Genomic DNA, 15877 nt, shown 5'->3' with positions numbered 1-15877 from the left:
GGAAAGAGAAAGATGCTGCGTCGTGAGTCACACTCCTCCCGAAGTAAATGAAAGGCCCCGAAGGGGCCTGCGCACCCAGGTCACTGGATGCAACTTTTTGTTTTTTTGGTTAATTAGGAGCAAAGCTACAGTGCAGCCACCAGAGGGAGCTGTGGTCTCAGTAAAGTGATCTCAGGCCGGTCCTCTGATAGCCACCGACACTCTACTAAGAGGCACATTAACAGCTGGTGCAGTAAGCCTCGGATTAGGCTGTGTGGAGAATTTTTCTCACTTACCAAACAGTGTCTTCTTCTTATATGTGTGATTGGCATCCTAGATCTGTCCCCCTGGGAGCAGAGGGACCTCAGATCAACTATGCAACAGCTCTGGTATCCAGCCTCCCTCTCTGTCAAACTGGGCAAACCAAGTCATCTGACTCGGGGCATTAAGTGAGGTGGCATCTGTCAGATTACTGTTATCTGACCCTGCAAATTCTTCCCAGTATGAGCTACACTGGAGGGTGGGTGGGGTGGGGTCCAGCCTCTGCTTGGCCCCAGCAAGCGAGTGTTGCTCAGACTTGGGGAAAGCCCGTTCTTCGGGGGTTCCTGGACGGCTTCTCGTGAACACCTGCATGACAGGTGCAGAGCGCCTGCATCACTGCGTGCAGGTGGCTTTTGTCCCTGGCAGTGCTGTGATACTCAGAATGAACCTGTCTGTAACAGATGGAAACTTAGTATCTAATCAAAGTGATACCCTGGTGAGGCCAATCACTGCCAGGAACAAGTGGGGCTCTCTGTGGACAGGGGGTTGTGGGGTGGCCTTGGCTGTACATTTGAGTAATTCTTCATGTTGTGCAAAGCCCACCCAGATGCCAGTCACAGGCTCCGCCGAGGCTGTCCTTCCCATCACAGGTGAGGAAACCGAGGCTGAAGTGGCAGCTGGCGAGGGGCAGCCTGGTCCTCGGACCCTGGTCTCCAGGACAGCGTGTTCTGGAAGACTCTGCTGTGGGGGCCCATCTGAGCATGGTGTGCTCTTCCATAACGACTTGTGTGTTGTTGGGGGGCTTCCTGTAGAAACCAGGGGGCTTTCTCTCATTTCCATCTTGGTTCCCAGAGGTGACTTGGGATTCCCGGGGAGAGGTGAGGGCGGCCAAGCAGACCTGCCCAGAACTCCATTCCCACCATCAACCGGAGCCTCCTGGCTTTGGTGGGTTTTATCGACTGGGATGAAGAGGGGGCTCTCTGAACATTCTCCTGTAGGGTTCTTGGGGCCTGGCTCAGTCACTGACATTTGTGTTCACATCAGCCCTGCCCAAACCTCTGCCCACCCTGATATTGGTCCCCTGGCATTGCCCATGAGGATGAGTCATCCCACTGTGGCCTGCCCTTGAGGGTCCCGCCCCGTGGCCCCCACAGCGTACCTACAGTGGACCACGATGGGCCCAGCGTGCACGGGGTTGAGCGTCTTTACTTTCTTGAGGAACTTCAGCATCCCAATGGGGGTAAAAGGCACTCCGAAGTCGGGCCAGCTGGTGAAGTGCAGCTGTGAGACCAGCCTGGGGGCTTTGCAGCCGTCGGGGAGCTGCTGCGGGGGACGCGGGGAGACAAGAGTGGGTGAAACAATCCTCCCCCTGCTCCCCCAGCATCTCATTCTGAGGACGCCGCCGTGGGCTCCCCTGTGCTGGGGCTGCGTAGGGGAGGGGCCCATCCACAGAGGGCCTGCCTGAGCCAGACAGCCTGGACCTTACCCCTGCCGACTCTGAACATGTGCTGCTTTTGGGGCCACAGAACAGGGCCCGCAGCAACCGTCTATGCCCAGGTCAGGCAGGGCCCAAGCAGCCAGACACATCCCCAAAGTTGGTCTGTGTGCTCACAGACCCCCGTGCAAGCAGGGCGGCCATGGCCCATCTTGCCTGGACAGTCCCACCTCAGGCCGGTGGTGCTGAGTAATCACCAACAGCACATCCTTCCTTGGGCAAAGCTGTCTTACATTTGGGAGGACAGATGATGCAGTCGGCCTGCTCTTTGGAGTCTCCCAGACCTGCCCTCAGAGCCTCTCTCAGCTTTTGGACCCAGAGCCCATGAGTTTAATTCCCTTGCCCAGATCACGGAAGGTGATACACAGCGTATTTGGAAGTAGATGTGTGTGCATGTGTGTGCACATGTATGCATGTGTATGTGTGCATGTGTGCGCATGTATGTGTGGGTGAATGTGTGTATGTGCGCACGTGTGAATGTGTGCACATGTATGCATGTGTGTGCATGTGTGAATGTGGGTGCGTACACGTGTGCACCCATGTGCGTGTATGTGTGTGTGCACATGTGTGAATGTGTGCATGTGTGCACGTGTGCGTGTGTGAATGTGTGTGGATGTATGTGTGTGCACATGTGTGAATGTGCATGTGTGCATCTGTGCGTGTGTGGGTGCGTGTGTGTGCACATGTATGCATGTGCATGAATGTGTGTGCGTGTGTGCATGTGTGTGCATGTGAATGTGTGTGGGTGTATGTGTGTGCACATGTGTGAATGTGTGCATGTGTGCATGTGAGTGGGGTGTGTGTGCACATGTGTGTGTGAACGTGCATGCATTGTACGGTTGTGTGCGTGTGTGTGCATGTGTGTGCCTGTGTGTGGGTGTACGTGTGCATGTGCATGCATGTGTGTGGGAGTATGTGCATGTGCGTGCCTGTGTGTGGGTAGGTGTACGTGTGTGTGCCTGTGTGTGGGTGTGTGTGCATGTGTATGCCTGTGTGTGGGTGTATGTGCATGTGTGCATGTGTGTGCCTGTGTGTGGGAGTATGTGTGTGCGTGTGCATGTGAGTGCCTGTGTGCGCCTGTGTGCACATTTCTGGGAGAGATGCCAGCAGGGGATAGGATAAGAATAATCAGCTCATCCTTTTCCTTTTTTGCTGTGGCTTCTTGGAACCTCAGACACTTATTTTGTGACCTAATTATGCCAATGACTGTATCTTTAAATCCTGACAAAATGGTCTTCTGTCTTTTCTCTATGGTTTTAAACTTTCTTCTATATCTTGATTTCATCTGCTTTGCATACACATATTTTTACTGATCTCTCTCTTAAACCTTTTGGGGTGGTGGAACTAGCAGAACCCAAGTGTGGAAAATAACGAGGAGGTTTCAGACAGAATTCGGAAAGTGTTAGAAAAAAACCCCACCTCCCAGTCAGTGTGTGAAATGTCACTGTGCTACTGAGGGAGGACCTCACCCCCAGGCCCCTCCAATGACTGGTCTTCCTCCTGGAGAGGCCCAGAGGAGTCACTAGGAATTAGGAGCCCCCAGCACTGCCTGCAGACCCTTGTGCACCGGCCTCTGGTGTCTTGGCCCTCTTGCATGTCTGCCTATCACAGCCTGGCCACTGCACCCTCTCAGCCAGGGCTGCGACAGTGCCGGGCTGGGAGCAAAGCACTTCATAAATGCAGAAGGATGTTAACTCTGGGCATGATGCTCTCTGAAAATGATCTTTCTGGAAGGGCAGCAACTAGAGATGCTTACTGGCTGTATGCAGAACTTCCGGATGGTGTAGTCGACCAAAACCACGCAGTCCTCCACGCACACCCGGATGTTTCCATAGGTCCAGCAGCCTTGGTCGGGCCAGTACTGATGGCACTTTTCCTGCACGGAACAATTTAATAGAAGCAAATAGATCTGTGGGTGCAATGCATCATGACATCCCCCCACCCAACTACAGAAGGCCTCACACACACCAGCTGGAGTCACACAGCTCCCACAGCTGAGAAACAAGTTCACGTGTGTCGACCTCTTGAATGGGGAAACTGAGGCTGCGTAACTGGTGAACAGCAGCCTTGAAACTATGACTAGGATGCCCCAAGGCTTTCTGATGTAGACAGCAACAATGTCTCATTTCTTCATTCATTCACGAATCCCATACATTTTATTAACTGACCATCAACCAGTTATGCTGAGCCTGTAGCCTTCAGAGCTGGGCACCTAACTCCAAGTGACCCTCAGGCTAGAGGGCAAGGACGGTGCTCCCCCCAGACATTTCCCACTGGATTCAGCAATTTGTGTTTTTCCTGCTCAGTTCACTAAGGACAAAGTTAATTTGCACCACTGCCAGTCTGCCATTCAAGAGTGATGAACCTATGATTGGTCTAACGATCTTCATTTTTCTCTAGCAGGGACGAGGCTGCCGTGGAGTCTGCAGAAGAGGGTGCATTGCTACAGACAGGCCCATTTCTTTACCTTCCCGACCTCTGAAGCAAGAATGACCCAAAATACACGTTCCAGGAGCCCTTTCATTTTGCAGCACCGCCCGCAGCACCTGCCCGGTGGTGTCCTCCATCACTTCGCGAGTGAATGAGGACCCACCTCAAGGGGGAAAAGATCTACTTCATCTGCCAGAGAAACATGTCTGGAATGGAACAAGCCTGCCAGTAGTCAGAGAGTATATCCAGGGAATGGCCCCTGAGCAGCACAGCTCGTGGTCAAGCCTCCAGGATTAACAGTCTTATGAAACAAACAGCATCTGGTATTTAGTAGAGAGCAGCATCATTGTGTTATGACGGCTACCGACAACTTCCCCCTCCTTACACCTGGCTCCGGGCGGGGCTGCGGGGCTGTGGGTCACAGGCCATCTCTGATGCAGCCCAGGGGAATTGCAAATGCCTACATGTCCCGGTTTGGGTGAGTCTTGGCCCTATGGGGAGCCCTGGGGTCCCTCCTGAGCTTCTCACCTTGAAGGCTCTCCAGTAGGAACTGAGAACATGTGTCAGCCTCTCAAGGGCTCAGTGTTGGTGGCTGGTTTTATACCCCCTCCCTCTGCCTCCCTCCCACCCGATCATGAGATGCCAGGGCAGCTGTGTTTTGCAATGCAGAGCCCAGGATGTGGAAGCCAAGGAAACCACAACAGAAGTGTGAGCAATTAAGAAAAAGGGAACTCTATTGAGAAATGATTTCATCTGAATTGGTGAGAATGAGGACGCGGCAGCAGCCCAGCACTGAGTCACAGGAGTGGAAAAATCCAGTAGGAGGTTGTGGGGGAAGATGGAGAGAAAATGCCAGTGACACTTTCAGCAGAATGACTGAAAGAGGGAAGTGAGGGCGTCCTTGAGCCCCACTGCTTCTGTGCTGGTCTCATGCTTGGAGCACCAACCCCAGGAAGACTGGTCCCTATGGGCCATGGGTCACGGGGGACCCTGAGGCTCCTGATGAAGGGTCAGCCTCCTTTTCCCTCGCGTGGGTGTCCTCCTCCATGGCCGCTACAGCGCAGGCAGAGTGAAGAGTCCTGGGCTGGGAATCCCCTACTTCCCTCTGTCACTCTTCCCTCTTCCCCATGACAAAGCATGACAAGGGCAAGATTTGCAAGGGCAAAGGGGTGGCCCTCCACAGTCCTGTTTCAGCTCCCCCCAGAGCAGAATGAAAGCCTCCATCCTATTCCTGACCAGAAACGGTGGCTGGAGGCTGCTTCCTGTGTTTTGGGTGGCAATTAGTAAGCTGGCACTGCGGGGACCAGAGCACCTCCCAGCCTGCCCTTCCTGTGGGCTCCTGCCACCCATCTTCTGCCCCAGCTGAGCTCCCCAAGGCCTGGTACTCCCATCTAAAAATGGCAGCCCTTCCCCACAGTCCTCGCTACAATGCCTGGGAACTGCTGGGGCCAGGCCAGCAGATGACTGAGGAGCTCAGGACACAGCAGGCCCTGAGCAGGGCCGGGCAGGACACACGGCTCCCACTGAACCGGGCCTTCATGCCAGAACACGCCAGAAGCACAGCCTCCTAACTTCGCCCCACCTGTGGTAAGTGTCCCTCAGGCTCCCAGTTCTTCTTTCATTCTGGAGAGTGAGCTCACTGCCTATGGCATGGCTCCCTGCCTGTCACTCAACCCCACCCCCGCACCCAGGCTCCCCACAGCCACCACTTCTCAGCCCTGAATTTGAGCCCCTACTCCTTGCACCTGGGACAGAGCTGGCCCAGCACAGCAGATGCTAATGAGTACTTGTTACATTAGGAAACGAATCAGTTCAACTTTTCTTCTTTGTCAATGATTCAAATTCTTATAACGTACATGCATCCTTTTTTGAATTAGAAACAGCTAATTAAATATATTCGGATGACAAATCAACATTTCTTCAATATACCAACGTTTTCCAAAAGCATTTCTCTAGTCTGGATAATAAGCGCGAAATCATGTTCATTTCTAGCCTGAGCTCTGCCGCATGACACGCTCAACATCCTAAAACTCTAAGATTCATGTCTCTCATCAGGCAGGCAGAGCCATGGGGCCAGCCGGGGGCCACTCTTACTTGGGAAAAAAAGGAAACTCTTGTGTCATTGTGTTATCACAGATTAGATAACAGTGAGATGCTGGGGACACAGGGGATTTGTTTCGTGAAGAAAATGCTGTAAGCCACTGCATGTGTTTGGGTTTTTTTCTGCAGTGATAGTGGGAGGAAGGGAGGGAAGTAGGAAAAGGAAGTGGTAAGAACATCCCCAGCCCGGCAGCAGCAGCTGAAAGGAAGTGATACCGGGGCCAGATGCCTGGAACTCACCTCTTTCCTTTCTTTCAAGTTTGTTAACATGACGATGGTCGCAGACTTTTGCTCCCAGACCATTCTCCAGAAGTCGTTAACCGTTTCCTGTTTGGGACCTGTGTGTAGAGGACAATTTCGAAGTCAAAAGGCATGAAGGGAAGTCCCTTTGGGGTCCCAGCCCCGGCACCCTGGCCGTTGGCCCCTGGACAGCTGTTCACTCCCTTCTCAGGCTTGTTGGGGACACACACGTCATGCCCTGAAGCGTTCCGGAACCGGTAGGGGCTGCCTGTCCTGCCACTCACCCACTCCAGCTAGGAACTCCTCAGTGGGCAAGATAATTGGGCCCAGGTTGAGTTATGACGTTCACAGGTAAGAAGCAGGGTTCAGATGAGGGCTGGGTCTACAGCCAAGTGTGGGAGAGCTGGTGAAAGCCTTGCGAGAGGCAGAGACTGGCCAGCCTCACCCTGCATTCCCAATCCCCTCCTCTTTGTCAAAATCTTACTCTCAGCATGGTGCTGTCCAATACGATATGAGCTAAAGTCCCTCGGGAGGGGGATGTGAACAACAGACAAAGTGTCACTAGGAGAAAGTCCTCTGCCCCTATCCACTTCCTGTCTGAGCTGCGGCTATTTTGCAGTCCCGAGCTAAGTGCTACGTGCTGAGGGGGATGGGCGGGGAGATAAGGAAGCCCCTGGCCCTGCTGCTGTCCTGCCGTGGGCTAGCTCCCTGTGGGTGTCTGCTGGCAAGAGAGAAACACATGCTTTCATCTGCTTCAGCCAGGATCGTCAGGTTTCCTGAGGTTTCCAGCTGGGCACATTCCTGATGGCCTCTGCGTGTGCACATGTGTGTCCTTTTTTCTTAGAGATTCTGCATTTGTAACAACTTCCCAGGTGATTTTGATGGACGCTGACTTTCAGAGCTCATTGCCCTAAAGACTCCTGGCCTAAGAGTGAGGAAGTCTGAGGAATCTGGTTTCAGCTCCACTGATATCTAACCGCACGTACACCAGGTCCTGCAGATGACAACCTCTGGTGGAACGGAGTGATGCTGGATTCAGTACTCAACACACAAGGTAGCCCTGTGCAAGGTGAAGGGCACGTTTTCACAGCTGAAGTATATTCTTAGTTATGGCCTTGATCTGAAAAGCTATTCACCCCACTAACCCCTCGCCCAAACTTGGGGAGCCATGTAGGGCTCAGCCAGCTGAGAGAAATTCAAGGTTATCTGACGCAAGTATTAACAAGCTGGAATGGCAGCCGGGGCCATTGCGTGCCCTGTGTTCACACCATATAGGTGTGGGAATAAGTGTGTGTTTCTCTGACTACACATATCCGTTGTGTGAATGGATATCTAACGTGTCTGTTAGGTGTAAACACACACACACAAATCCAGTATAAGTCCTTGGTCTTGTTGGCATACAGAGAAGGAAATAAGAGCTATTCACGTTACCAAAAATACGTTGAGAAATTAATAAAAAGCTTACCTTGAGCTGCTATGAATTTATTCTTCTCTTTGTAACCCTAGAAAAAATAACATCAGATTTATATTTTTTCAGAATTATCTTTGCTGAAAGGATTTGTTGGTGTTGCTGTTAGGAAAGCAGTACATATTCACCATGGAAAATTTGCAAAACACAGGAAAAGGTTAAGAAGGAAAGAAAACTCACCAGCAATTCCAGAAATAACAAATCCTACTTCATACGTCCCCTCTCTAGTCTGTTTTTCTGCCAAACCTTTCCCAGACTCACCCACAAGCAGACATGCAGACATTTCTGTCCTCTAATTGGGTGAACATGTACAATTTATTTTATGTTGTATTTTTAATGGGAATTTTATAATTGATATTAAATGATCTTTTAAAGATTAATACAAATCAAGTTCTAATAGTCCACTGCACATGGTTTTACCACAATCTGTTTAACTACCCATGCTCCCTGTTCTATTTGGTCAGGAATATACATAATGCTGTAGTGAACATCCTCTGTGATCATCTCTGTCTCTTGAATTCAAATTCCCAGATGCTGATGCCAGTGTGTAAAGCACGGGCAGTTCCGTACCCTTTGTGCTTGTGGCCAAACTGCCCAGAAAGGTTGTGACAATTTACACTCCGGGCACCAGACAAGAAAGTGCTTACTGCTCATGCCCCAGCTGGGCCAGGGGAACAAGAAACCTCTGCCCACTTACATCTATGTAGGAAGCATTGATGTAGTCTGAACAGGGAATTCCATCCAGTTGGCTCAGAATCACCCTAGAATGGTCATCTGGAAAAAAAACCCAAACAAAGCCAAGATATTAGGACCAGGAATCACAGTGCTGTCTCTTCCAGAAATCACAGTGCTGTCTCTTCATCTGCAGTGTCAGCTCCTGGGAAGGGCAAAAGCAGCTTCACAGCGACACCAGGGATGGCAGAGATGTTCTTCCTCAGCGTTCCCATGGAGAACACTAGTGTCCTGAGAGAGAATGCACCTGCTTTGGTGAACACTGACTGTCTCAGCTGTGGCATGACGACAAGGGTAGGATTTCAGCATCCAGGATGGGGGCTGCTGGGTCATTACATAGCAAGAATAGCAGAATGTGCCAGGCCCCTGGCAGTGCAAGGGCTGTATTTTATGAACCCTGCACTGGGCCCAGCCCCAGTGTTGCCAAGTGTGGGTGCACTTAAAAGAGCCCCAGGACAGGAGAACTGGGTCCACTCTCCCAGGCTTCCCAGGGAAATGAGCACCAGCCCCATGAGGACAAGTGGATGTGGGGGTCTAGGATTGGGGACTCTGACCCTCAGTCCCACCACCGGAGTCTGCCCCAGAGCTGGAAGGCGAGCACAGTGAGGAGCGTCTGGTAGATCCAGCCTGTTGCACAAGCAGTTTTCCGGGGTAGAAGGCTGACCGTGGAGTGCTCTGTGTGTGGGGTGTGTGTGTAGTGAGTGTGGTGTGTGTGTATTGTGTGTGTGGTGTGTGTGGTTGTGTATGTGTGTAATGTGTGGTGTGTGTGTGGTGTGTATGGTGCATGTGTGTAGTGTGTGTGGTGTATGTGTGGTGTGCATGTGTGTAGTGTGTATGCTGTGTGAATGTGTGCATGTGGGTTTGGTGTGTATGTGTAGTGTGTGTGTGTGTGTGTGTGTAGTGTGTGGTATGTGTGTGGTGTGTATGTGTGTGGTATGTGTGTGATATGTTTGTGTGGAGTGTGTGGTGTGTGTGTGGAGTGTGTATGTGTGTGCGTTATGTGCGGTGGGTGTGTAGTGTGTGTGTTGTGTGTGTGTGTGTGCATGTAGTGTGTGTGTACACACACGTCAGGGCTCCATCATGACTTTTGTGGGTTGTAGTCACTTCTGCCTTTGCAGCTTCCTCCATAGAACTATTAAGAAGGTTATCTTAGGACTGGGTTGGTCGCCAGTGAAAAGATGCACTCCAGAATGGGTTTTGCACGTTTTGTTTGTGATTTGAAGAGAAATGAAGACATTTTCATGGGCTTCTAAAAGTGCTGTGGGCCTGGCCCTGCTCCTCCTGTAACCTTTCCCAGGAACGTCCGGCTCGGCCAGGCTGGGACCAGGCTGGTTCTGAGGACGTTTATGCTGCACTGGGCACAGAGTCTGGCATGTGGTAGAAGCTTAGGGTCTCCTTCCTGAGTCATTACTGAGTAACTCTAGGTCCTCTCCCTGCTTTCTCTGCTTAGTCTCTGATCAGGGTGGGTTGTGTTTGTGGTGTTTGTGGCGTTTGTGATGGGGAGCCGGGCAGCCCCCAGGTCATGCCTTGTTTGTCTCACCTTCACCTGGAAGGCTGCCAGGTGGGCCACGGGCTGGTGGCCTGCGACCTCCGATGGTTGAGCCAGCTCTGTCGGGCTGCCAGCAGAGAAAGGGCGGGTATAGCTCTGAGAGACAGTCACAGCCCACACAGGGTGGCCAGGGAGTCAGACCCCAAACTTACAGTCCTGCAGACCTCACTGTGAGACCCTCCTGCTCAGGGACTGGCAATGCCCAGGCAGAAATAGCTCTGCTGAACACATATAACACTAGTTGAAAATAATTTGGAATGGTTTACGCTTTGAGGACAGCTATAGAAAAGCACAGGGTAAAATATAGCCTTCTGCTTAGATTTAGAATCTTGCAGTTTCTAAGAGCTTCCTGTCTTTTTATTCTAAAAAGTCACACTTCACATTCAAAACATTATTTCCTAAAATTATCAGCTGTTGGCACTTTTCCAGAAAAGAGGCCTAGCTTGCCATCTTTCTATAGTCTTTCTACAGGCAAAAGTCAAGCCTGCCTGACATGCAAAGCACCTTGACCTCTGACCCCAGAGCTCCCCAGGGCCACATGCCTGCCCAGAGCCAAGGACCATCTTATGACTCTGGTAAAAGACTGGGAAAGGCAGGGAAGGTGCCAGGGGCTGGGGAAGTTGGGTCCCTTCTCTCCTCTCCCCCAGGTGACTCTCAGTCCCACCCTAAGTGATACTAGGGGCTGGGGAAGTTGGGCCCCTTCTCTCCTCTCCCCCAGGTGACTCTCAGTCCCACCCTAAGTGATACTATGGGCTGTCACCCTGGGGGCGGGTGGAGCAGCCCTGAGAGCTCCCTGCCCAATGTCCCTTCAGCCTTAAGTCTTCCTGATGGCTAATGCCAGATGCCACCCCATTGATCCTTGCCAGGCCACAGCGTCTCCATGCCACCATTCTGTAAACCCATCTTTCCACCCATGTGAGAAGTGCCACGTCCTGGTCCCCCAGTCCCGGGCAGCTGCGTGGGCCCTGGGGTTCCCATGGTGTGGTGCTCCTGCCAGGAGCAGGGGAAAGATCTTACAGGGGAATCTAGAAAAGCCCATTCTGAATCTGACTACACTTTCAGGCTTGGAGGAAATGCCAACTGACTCCAGCAGCACAACCTGGAGAACGCGGCTCAGAGAAGACTTGAGAACGTGGCTCAGAGAAGACTTGCAGTGGGTGGGCCCGGCCTCTTCCAGGTGGGGGACTCCCAGGTGAGGCCACTGCTCTGCCCTGGGCCATCACACTTTGAGAAGGGGACTGGGTGTAGGTAATGCCCACACTTGGCCATGATTCTGCTTCCACAGAGGTCCCAGCTAAATAGTCTTAATTAACAATGTGATGTTACCTTTAAGGGATGAAGGTTTAGTGATTGAGAGAAATGAGGAATTCAGGAATGTGCTTAGCACTGAGCGGTTTCTTAACACATATGGTTGGCAAATCAAGGCACAACTTAAAACCACTCAATTAAGGTAATAAATTAAGCAGTGAAACTAATTTCTAAATATCCCAAATTTGACACACATTATTCCAAAGATCTCAGACCTCCTCCTGCCATGGCCTTCCTTTCCTTTGAGCTGCTCAAGCCATGTAAGTTGCCTCCCCTCTTTCTGTGATATCTTCTACCCATTGGCAACAAATCCTCTCCAAAGTGTGCAGCATCTAGCCATGTCTGAGCTACTGTCAAGGCTCAGCTGTGTGGCCACCACATGACCTCCTGACCCATCTTCCTGGTGTTGCCTTGGCCACCCCTACACATATGTGTTGAATGAAAGACTATTTGATGAATTTCTCCCAGTTTTCATTGGATCATGGGTTCACAGTGGGTTTTGTGAAAACCACATATCAATCCCACGCATGTAAAATGGGACAGAATTATTTCTAAAAAGTGCACAGTTTGGACAGACCACAGATCGGACAGACCATAGCTGCTCTGACATACAGAGCAGATGAACTCAATTCTAGTCCTAAAAATGCAGCAGGGAGCAGCATTCCGGGGCCCACATGGGCTGCCTTCCTCCATCCCACCAAGGCCCTGGCAGGGTGGGATGGACTCCCTTTGTGGACCAGGCGGAGGCTGCAGGTTCGGGATTTAAACCTGAACTTAGTGGAGCCCTTTGAGGATGCCATTTTGTTAGCCTGATGGGCAAAGCAGATGATGGGAGGGGCCCAGGTGAAGGATCCCCAACTGCACGCCCCGCCCCCCTGCTGCTGGGCCAGATCTTTTTTTTTTTTTGAGATGGAGTTTCGCTCTTGTTCCCCAGGCTGGAGTGCAATGGCGCGATCTCGGCTCATGGCAACCTCTGTCTCCCAGGTTCAAGAGATTCTCCTGCCTCAGTCTCCCACGTAGCTGGAATTACAGGCGTCCACCACCATGCCCGGCTAATATTTTGTATTTTTAGTAGAGACGGGGTTTCACCATCTTGGCCAGGCTGGTCTTGAACTCCTGACTTCAGGTGATCCACCTGCCTCGGCCTCCCAGAGTGCTGGGATTACAGACATGAGCCACAGCACCCGGCCCGGGCCAGCTCTTACAAAGGCGGTTCAGAACCTACAGGGTTTGTCTTGGCACCAAGACAGGCTGTGAAAGCTGCCCCCAGGTCACGACCCATCCAGCTGGAGCAGGTCACCGAGACGCACCCCCGCACACATCCGTCTGCTCTCTGGCCCTGCCACCTCCTGGCACCCACGCTCCCCAGCCCATGCCCACTTGTACTGCTGGGGTTAAATCAGGTCGATTCAGAGCCTTCCTACAAAGCTGCTGCCCACCTACAAATTTCGTATTCTATTATTTTTGTCATTGGTCCAGGACCCCAGACAACTCTAGGGATTTGCAGCTTGTGGTCACAAGCACTGAGTCTGAGGGAAGGGAGCTGCCCAGGGCCACTGGCAGGCCTAGACTGGGTGCCAGGCCTGAGTTCCACAGGAGGGGCCCTGCCAGCTGGCACCCATGGCCACGAAGCAGCACCCTTACCCGCTGGGCCCCAGGCAGCCCAGGTCCCAACAGTAAGCATAGGCTTGGCAGCCAGACCCACGAGCAACCAAGGTACCCAGGGCCTGTGCAGGGAGATGGGCACCTAAAGAGGAACGTTCTGGAGTCCTAGGTGCAAATGCTGAGCAGTTAGACTGATTTGGGGCCTCTGAGCACCAGGAATGGCCTGCAGTCACGGGGAGCTGCAAGGCAAAGCTGAGTTTAGTGCAAACACCATTGATCATGCAAAACATAAAATAAAATCTTACTGGGAAGGATGTTGGGATATCTGTTTTTTTCTCTGTTTTCTTCTTTATTTGCCAGTTCAAAAGTTCCTTGTATGTGTCCAGATGGCAATGACTGGAAGAAAATGTAGCATTAGTATGAAATGTGATGGATTCAAGCACCATGCTCATGTCAGTTTCCCTACTGAGCACAGGAATTAATGAAAACACGTGGAGCAAACTACCTGCTGTCCATAGTCCGTCTCTGCCTCAGACCTTGCACCAGGCATGGGGCAGAGAATGAAGGAGACACAGACCCTGGCTTTCCCCAGGGTGCTCTTTCATGTGGGGTGAACAGTGGTGTGGCCAAAGTGATGGTCTCATCAGCCAGATCCTATGCTGCATGAAGGCGGAGACTTGCCTTTGCATTTCCATGGTATCTCAGGGCCCATGGACCCTGGCCTAGAGCAGGTGCCTATGATTTGGTAAGAACTGACTACGACAGAACTGTGAACCGGGAGATGGGGGAGCGAGGACAGGCATGCGGAGGGTTTACAGCGGGATGCTGTGACTTTGGGGCTGAAGGATGAATAGAGCGGTCCTGGGAGGCAAGGGGCGGGAAACAGCCTTAGATACAGTCCTGATCTTGCTTAAGACTCCAGGTGTGCTCTGTGGACCAGTGGCTTGGGCACTCCCGGGAGGGTGCTTGTTAGAAATGCAGATGCTCTGTCCACACCCCAGACCCACAGAATCAGCACGAACATTACCATGATCCCCAGGGCTTCAGTGCACACGTCTTTGGGAAGCACCACGCTAACCAACTCCTTTGTCCCAGTCAGGGAAGTCAGGTGTGCAAGGAATGCCGCGGGGCCCCTATCCCCTCTGAGCAGCATAACCGAGCGTGAACTCTGGTGGCCTGCATTCTAGTTCTTTCTGCCGCCTGCAGCCGCCATCTCTGATTCCTGGTCATCTCCAGCTGTCTCCTGCGTCTGCTCGCTGCTCAGGTGAGCTCCCCACAATGCACAGTGTGAAGAGCCTCTTGAAGCCCTGAGTCCTGTCCTTTGACATTACACCCGACCAGCGGCTGGACCCGGGGCCACTGGGATTCCAGTAACATGCATGAATATGCACTGAGTGTCTCAGTGCGCCAGGTACGGTGGAAGGAGCTGGGTCATCTGCCCCAGCCTTTGCAACTCACCTATCATTAGGTGATACTAGGATGGTCCCCGTTTTATGGGTGAGGAAACTGAAAGCCAAAGCGAGGTGTTATAGATTTGTCCAGGGTCACCCAGCAAGCAAGGGGCAGGAGCCTAGAGCGGCACCCAGACTACCAGGAGGATGTTCACTTCTTCAAATGTAGGAGAATGTGAGGGGTCCCGCTGCAACTACCCAGGAGAGCAGAGCAGGCCTCACTGCGTAGCTTTGGATCCAAGCCGTGCAGGCCTGGGCTTGCTCACAATGCAGAGCACAGCCTGACCTGCCACCCACAGGTGTCCCGAGTCTTCCTCTCCTGAGGGCAGGAAGCTTCTCCAATTGCAGACTCAGATCTGACCAGCTGGAGCTCATGGTGGGGCACCGTAGGCCGCCCTCTTTCCTCTGCTTTGGGGCCACCAAACCCCATGGCCACAGGTTGAGGCCCTTCCAGGCCATGGGGTTTGTTGGTCCCAAAGCAGAGGCAAGAGGGTGGCCTATGTGGAGGGACCTGTCTGGCGGCACTGTGGCAAGGGTGATAGGTGGTTCTTGGCCTCATCCCCAGCCACCAGCACCTACGCCGCCTGTAGTTCCTGATTCTTCATCAGGGCTATCTTAATACTGACCTTCTTGACCTAATCTAAGCCTGACATCTGTGGTAAAATTCTAGAGCCTTCTCTTTTTCTACCCGCAAAAGCTTTTTTTGGCCCCAGCACTGAAAATACACGGGAGGCATGATACCGGATGGTGGGTACATGATACTGTGCATTCGTCAAAACCCACAGAATGCGCAACACACAAACCCTGACGTGTGGACTTCTGCTAGTAACAACAGAGCAGTGTTGGTTCATCAATTGCAGCAGTTGAAACACACAAATGCAGGAAGTTAATAATAGGAGAAACTGCTCACAGGGGAGGAAGGGGGCATATGGGAACTCTGTACTTTCTGTGCAATTATTCTGTATAGCTAAAACTGCTCTAAAATAAAGTCTGTTAAAAGATAAATTAGGCCAGGTGTGGTGACTCACACCTGTAATCCCAGCACTTTGGAAGTCGAGGCGGGTGGATCACCTGAGGTCAGGAGTTCAAGACCAGCCTGGCCAACATGGTGAAACCCCGTCTCTACTAAAAATACAAAAATTAGCTGGGCATGGTGGTGGGCGCCTGTAATCTCAGCTACTTGGGAGGCTGAGGCAGTAAAATCGCTTGAACCTGGGAGGCGGAGGTTGCCGTGAGCCAAGATTTCACCACTGCACTCC

At 52.1% G+C, this 15877-nt stretch overlaps 1 protein-coding gene and 1 long non-coding RNA gene across 26 annotated transcripts in view, besides 6 other annotated features; one reads left to right on the top strand and one right to left on the bottom strand.

Moving 5' to 3' along the window:
• PTPRE (protein tyrosine phosphatase receptor type E) overlaps positions 1-15877 on the bottom strand; it is a 178753-nt gene that overhangs the window by 16170 nt on the left and 146706 nt on the right. For 17 of the 24 annotated variants that reach the window (NM_001316676.2, NM_006504.6, NM_001323355.2 and 14 more), the window contains 6 exons: positions 13473-13563; positions 8671-8747; positions 7971-8007; positions 6506-6603; positions 3492-3611; positions 1400-1563 (listed from right to left, as the gene is read on the bottom strand). In NM_001316676.2, coding sequence (NP_001303605.1) covers positions 1400-1563; positions 3492-3611; positions 6506-6603; positions 7971-8007; positions 8671-8747; positions 13473-13563 — 587 coding nt within the window. Of the gene's footprint in view, positions 1047-1399; positions 1564-3491; positions 3612-6505; positions 6604-7970; positions 8008-8670; positions 8748-13472; positions 13564-15877 lie in introns of those variants that run through there. The other 7 variants (XM_047425578.1, XM_011539994.3, XM_047425579.1 and 4 more) reach the window with 4 other exon arrangements.
• Positions 150-347: a silencer, noted in NCBI's record as "fragment chr10:129867603-129867800 (GRCh37/hg19 assembly coordinates)". NCBI's record gives its function as "represses an EF-1alpha promoter that drives an FKBP-Casp9 reporter gene in an ReSE screen in K562 erythroleukemia cells {active_cell/tissue: K562}" and the evidence as "EXISTENCE:reporter gene assay evidence [ECO:0000049][PMID:32094911]".
• Positions 5580-6178: an enhancer, noted in NCBI's record as "H3K4me1 hESC enhancer chr10:129861772-129862370 (GRCh37/hg19 assembly coordinates)". NCBI's record gives its function as "activates a minimal SCP1, AML or CMV promoter by ChIP-STARR-seq in naive H9 embryonic stem cells {active_cell/tissue: H9 hESC(naive)}" and the evidence as "EXISTENCE:reporter gene assay evidence [ECO:0000049][PMID:30033119]".
• Positions 6518-6727: an enhancer, noted in NCBI's record as "active region_4200". NCBI's record gives its function as "activates an Ori minimal core promoter by ATAC-STARR-seq in GM12878 lymphoblastoid cells {active_cell/tissue: GM12878}" and the evidence as "EXISTENCE:reporter gene assay evidence [ECO:0000049][PMID:35858748]".
• Positions 6518-7718: a biological region, named in NCBI's record as "CDK7 strongly-dependent group 2 enhancer GRCh37_chr10:129860232-129861431".
• Positions 6519-7718: an enhancer, noted in NCBI's record as "CDK7 strongly-dependent group 2 enhancer chr10:129860232-129861431 (GRCh37/hg19 assembly coordinates)". NCBI's record gives its function as "activates an origin of replication core promoter dependent on BRD2, BRD4, P300/CBP, MED14 and CDK7 cofactors, with strong dependence on CDK7, by STARR-seq in HCT116 cells {active_cell/tissue: HCT116}" and the evidence as "EXISTENCE:reporter gene assay evidence [ECO:0000049][PMID:35650434]".
• Positions 7138-7187: an enhancer, noted in NCBI's record as "active region_4199". NCBI's record gives its function as "activates an Ori minimal core promoter by ATAC-STARR-seq in GM12878 lymphoblastoid cells {active_cell/tissue: GM12878}" and the evidence as "EXISTENCE:reporter gene assay evidence [ECO:0000049][PMID:35858748]".
• Positions 7261-11954, top strand: AS-PTPRE (lncRNA antisense to PTPRE protein-coding gene). 2 transcript variants are annotated; one of them, NR_136149.1, is made up of 4 exons: positions 7261-7559; positions 8842-8999; positions 10715-10829; positions 11317-11954. It is a non-coding gene; the product is annotated as a lncRNA antisense to PTPRE protein-coding gene (long non-coding RNA). The 2 variants fall into 2 exon arrangements; NR_136150.1 differs by lacking the exon at positions 10715-10829.

Source organism: Homo sapiens, chromosome 10 (assembly GCF_000001405.40).
Source record: "Homo sapiens chromosome 10, GRCh38.p14 Primary Assembly".
In the NCBI taxonomy this organism is placed as follows: Eukaryota; Metazoa; Chordata; class Mammalia; order Primates; family Hominidae; genus Homo; species Homo sapiens.
Note: the sequence above shows the minus strand (reverse complement) of the source record. Positions and strands in the feature narration are given on the sequence as shown.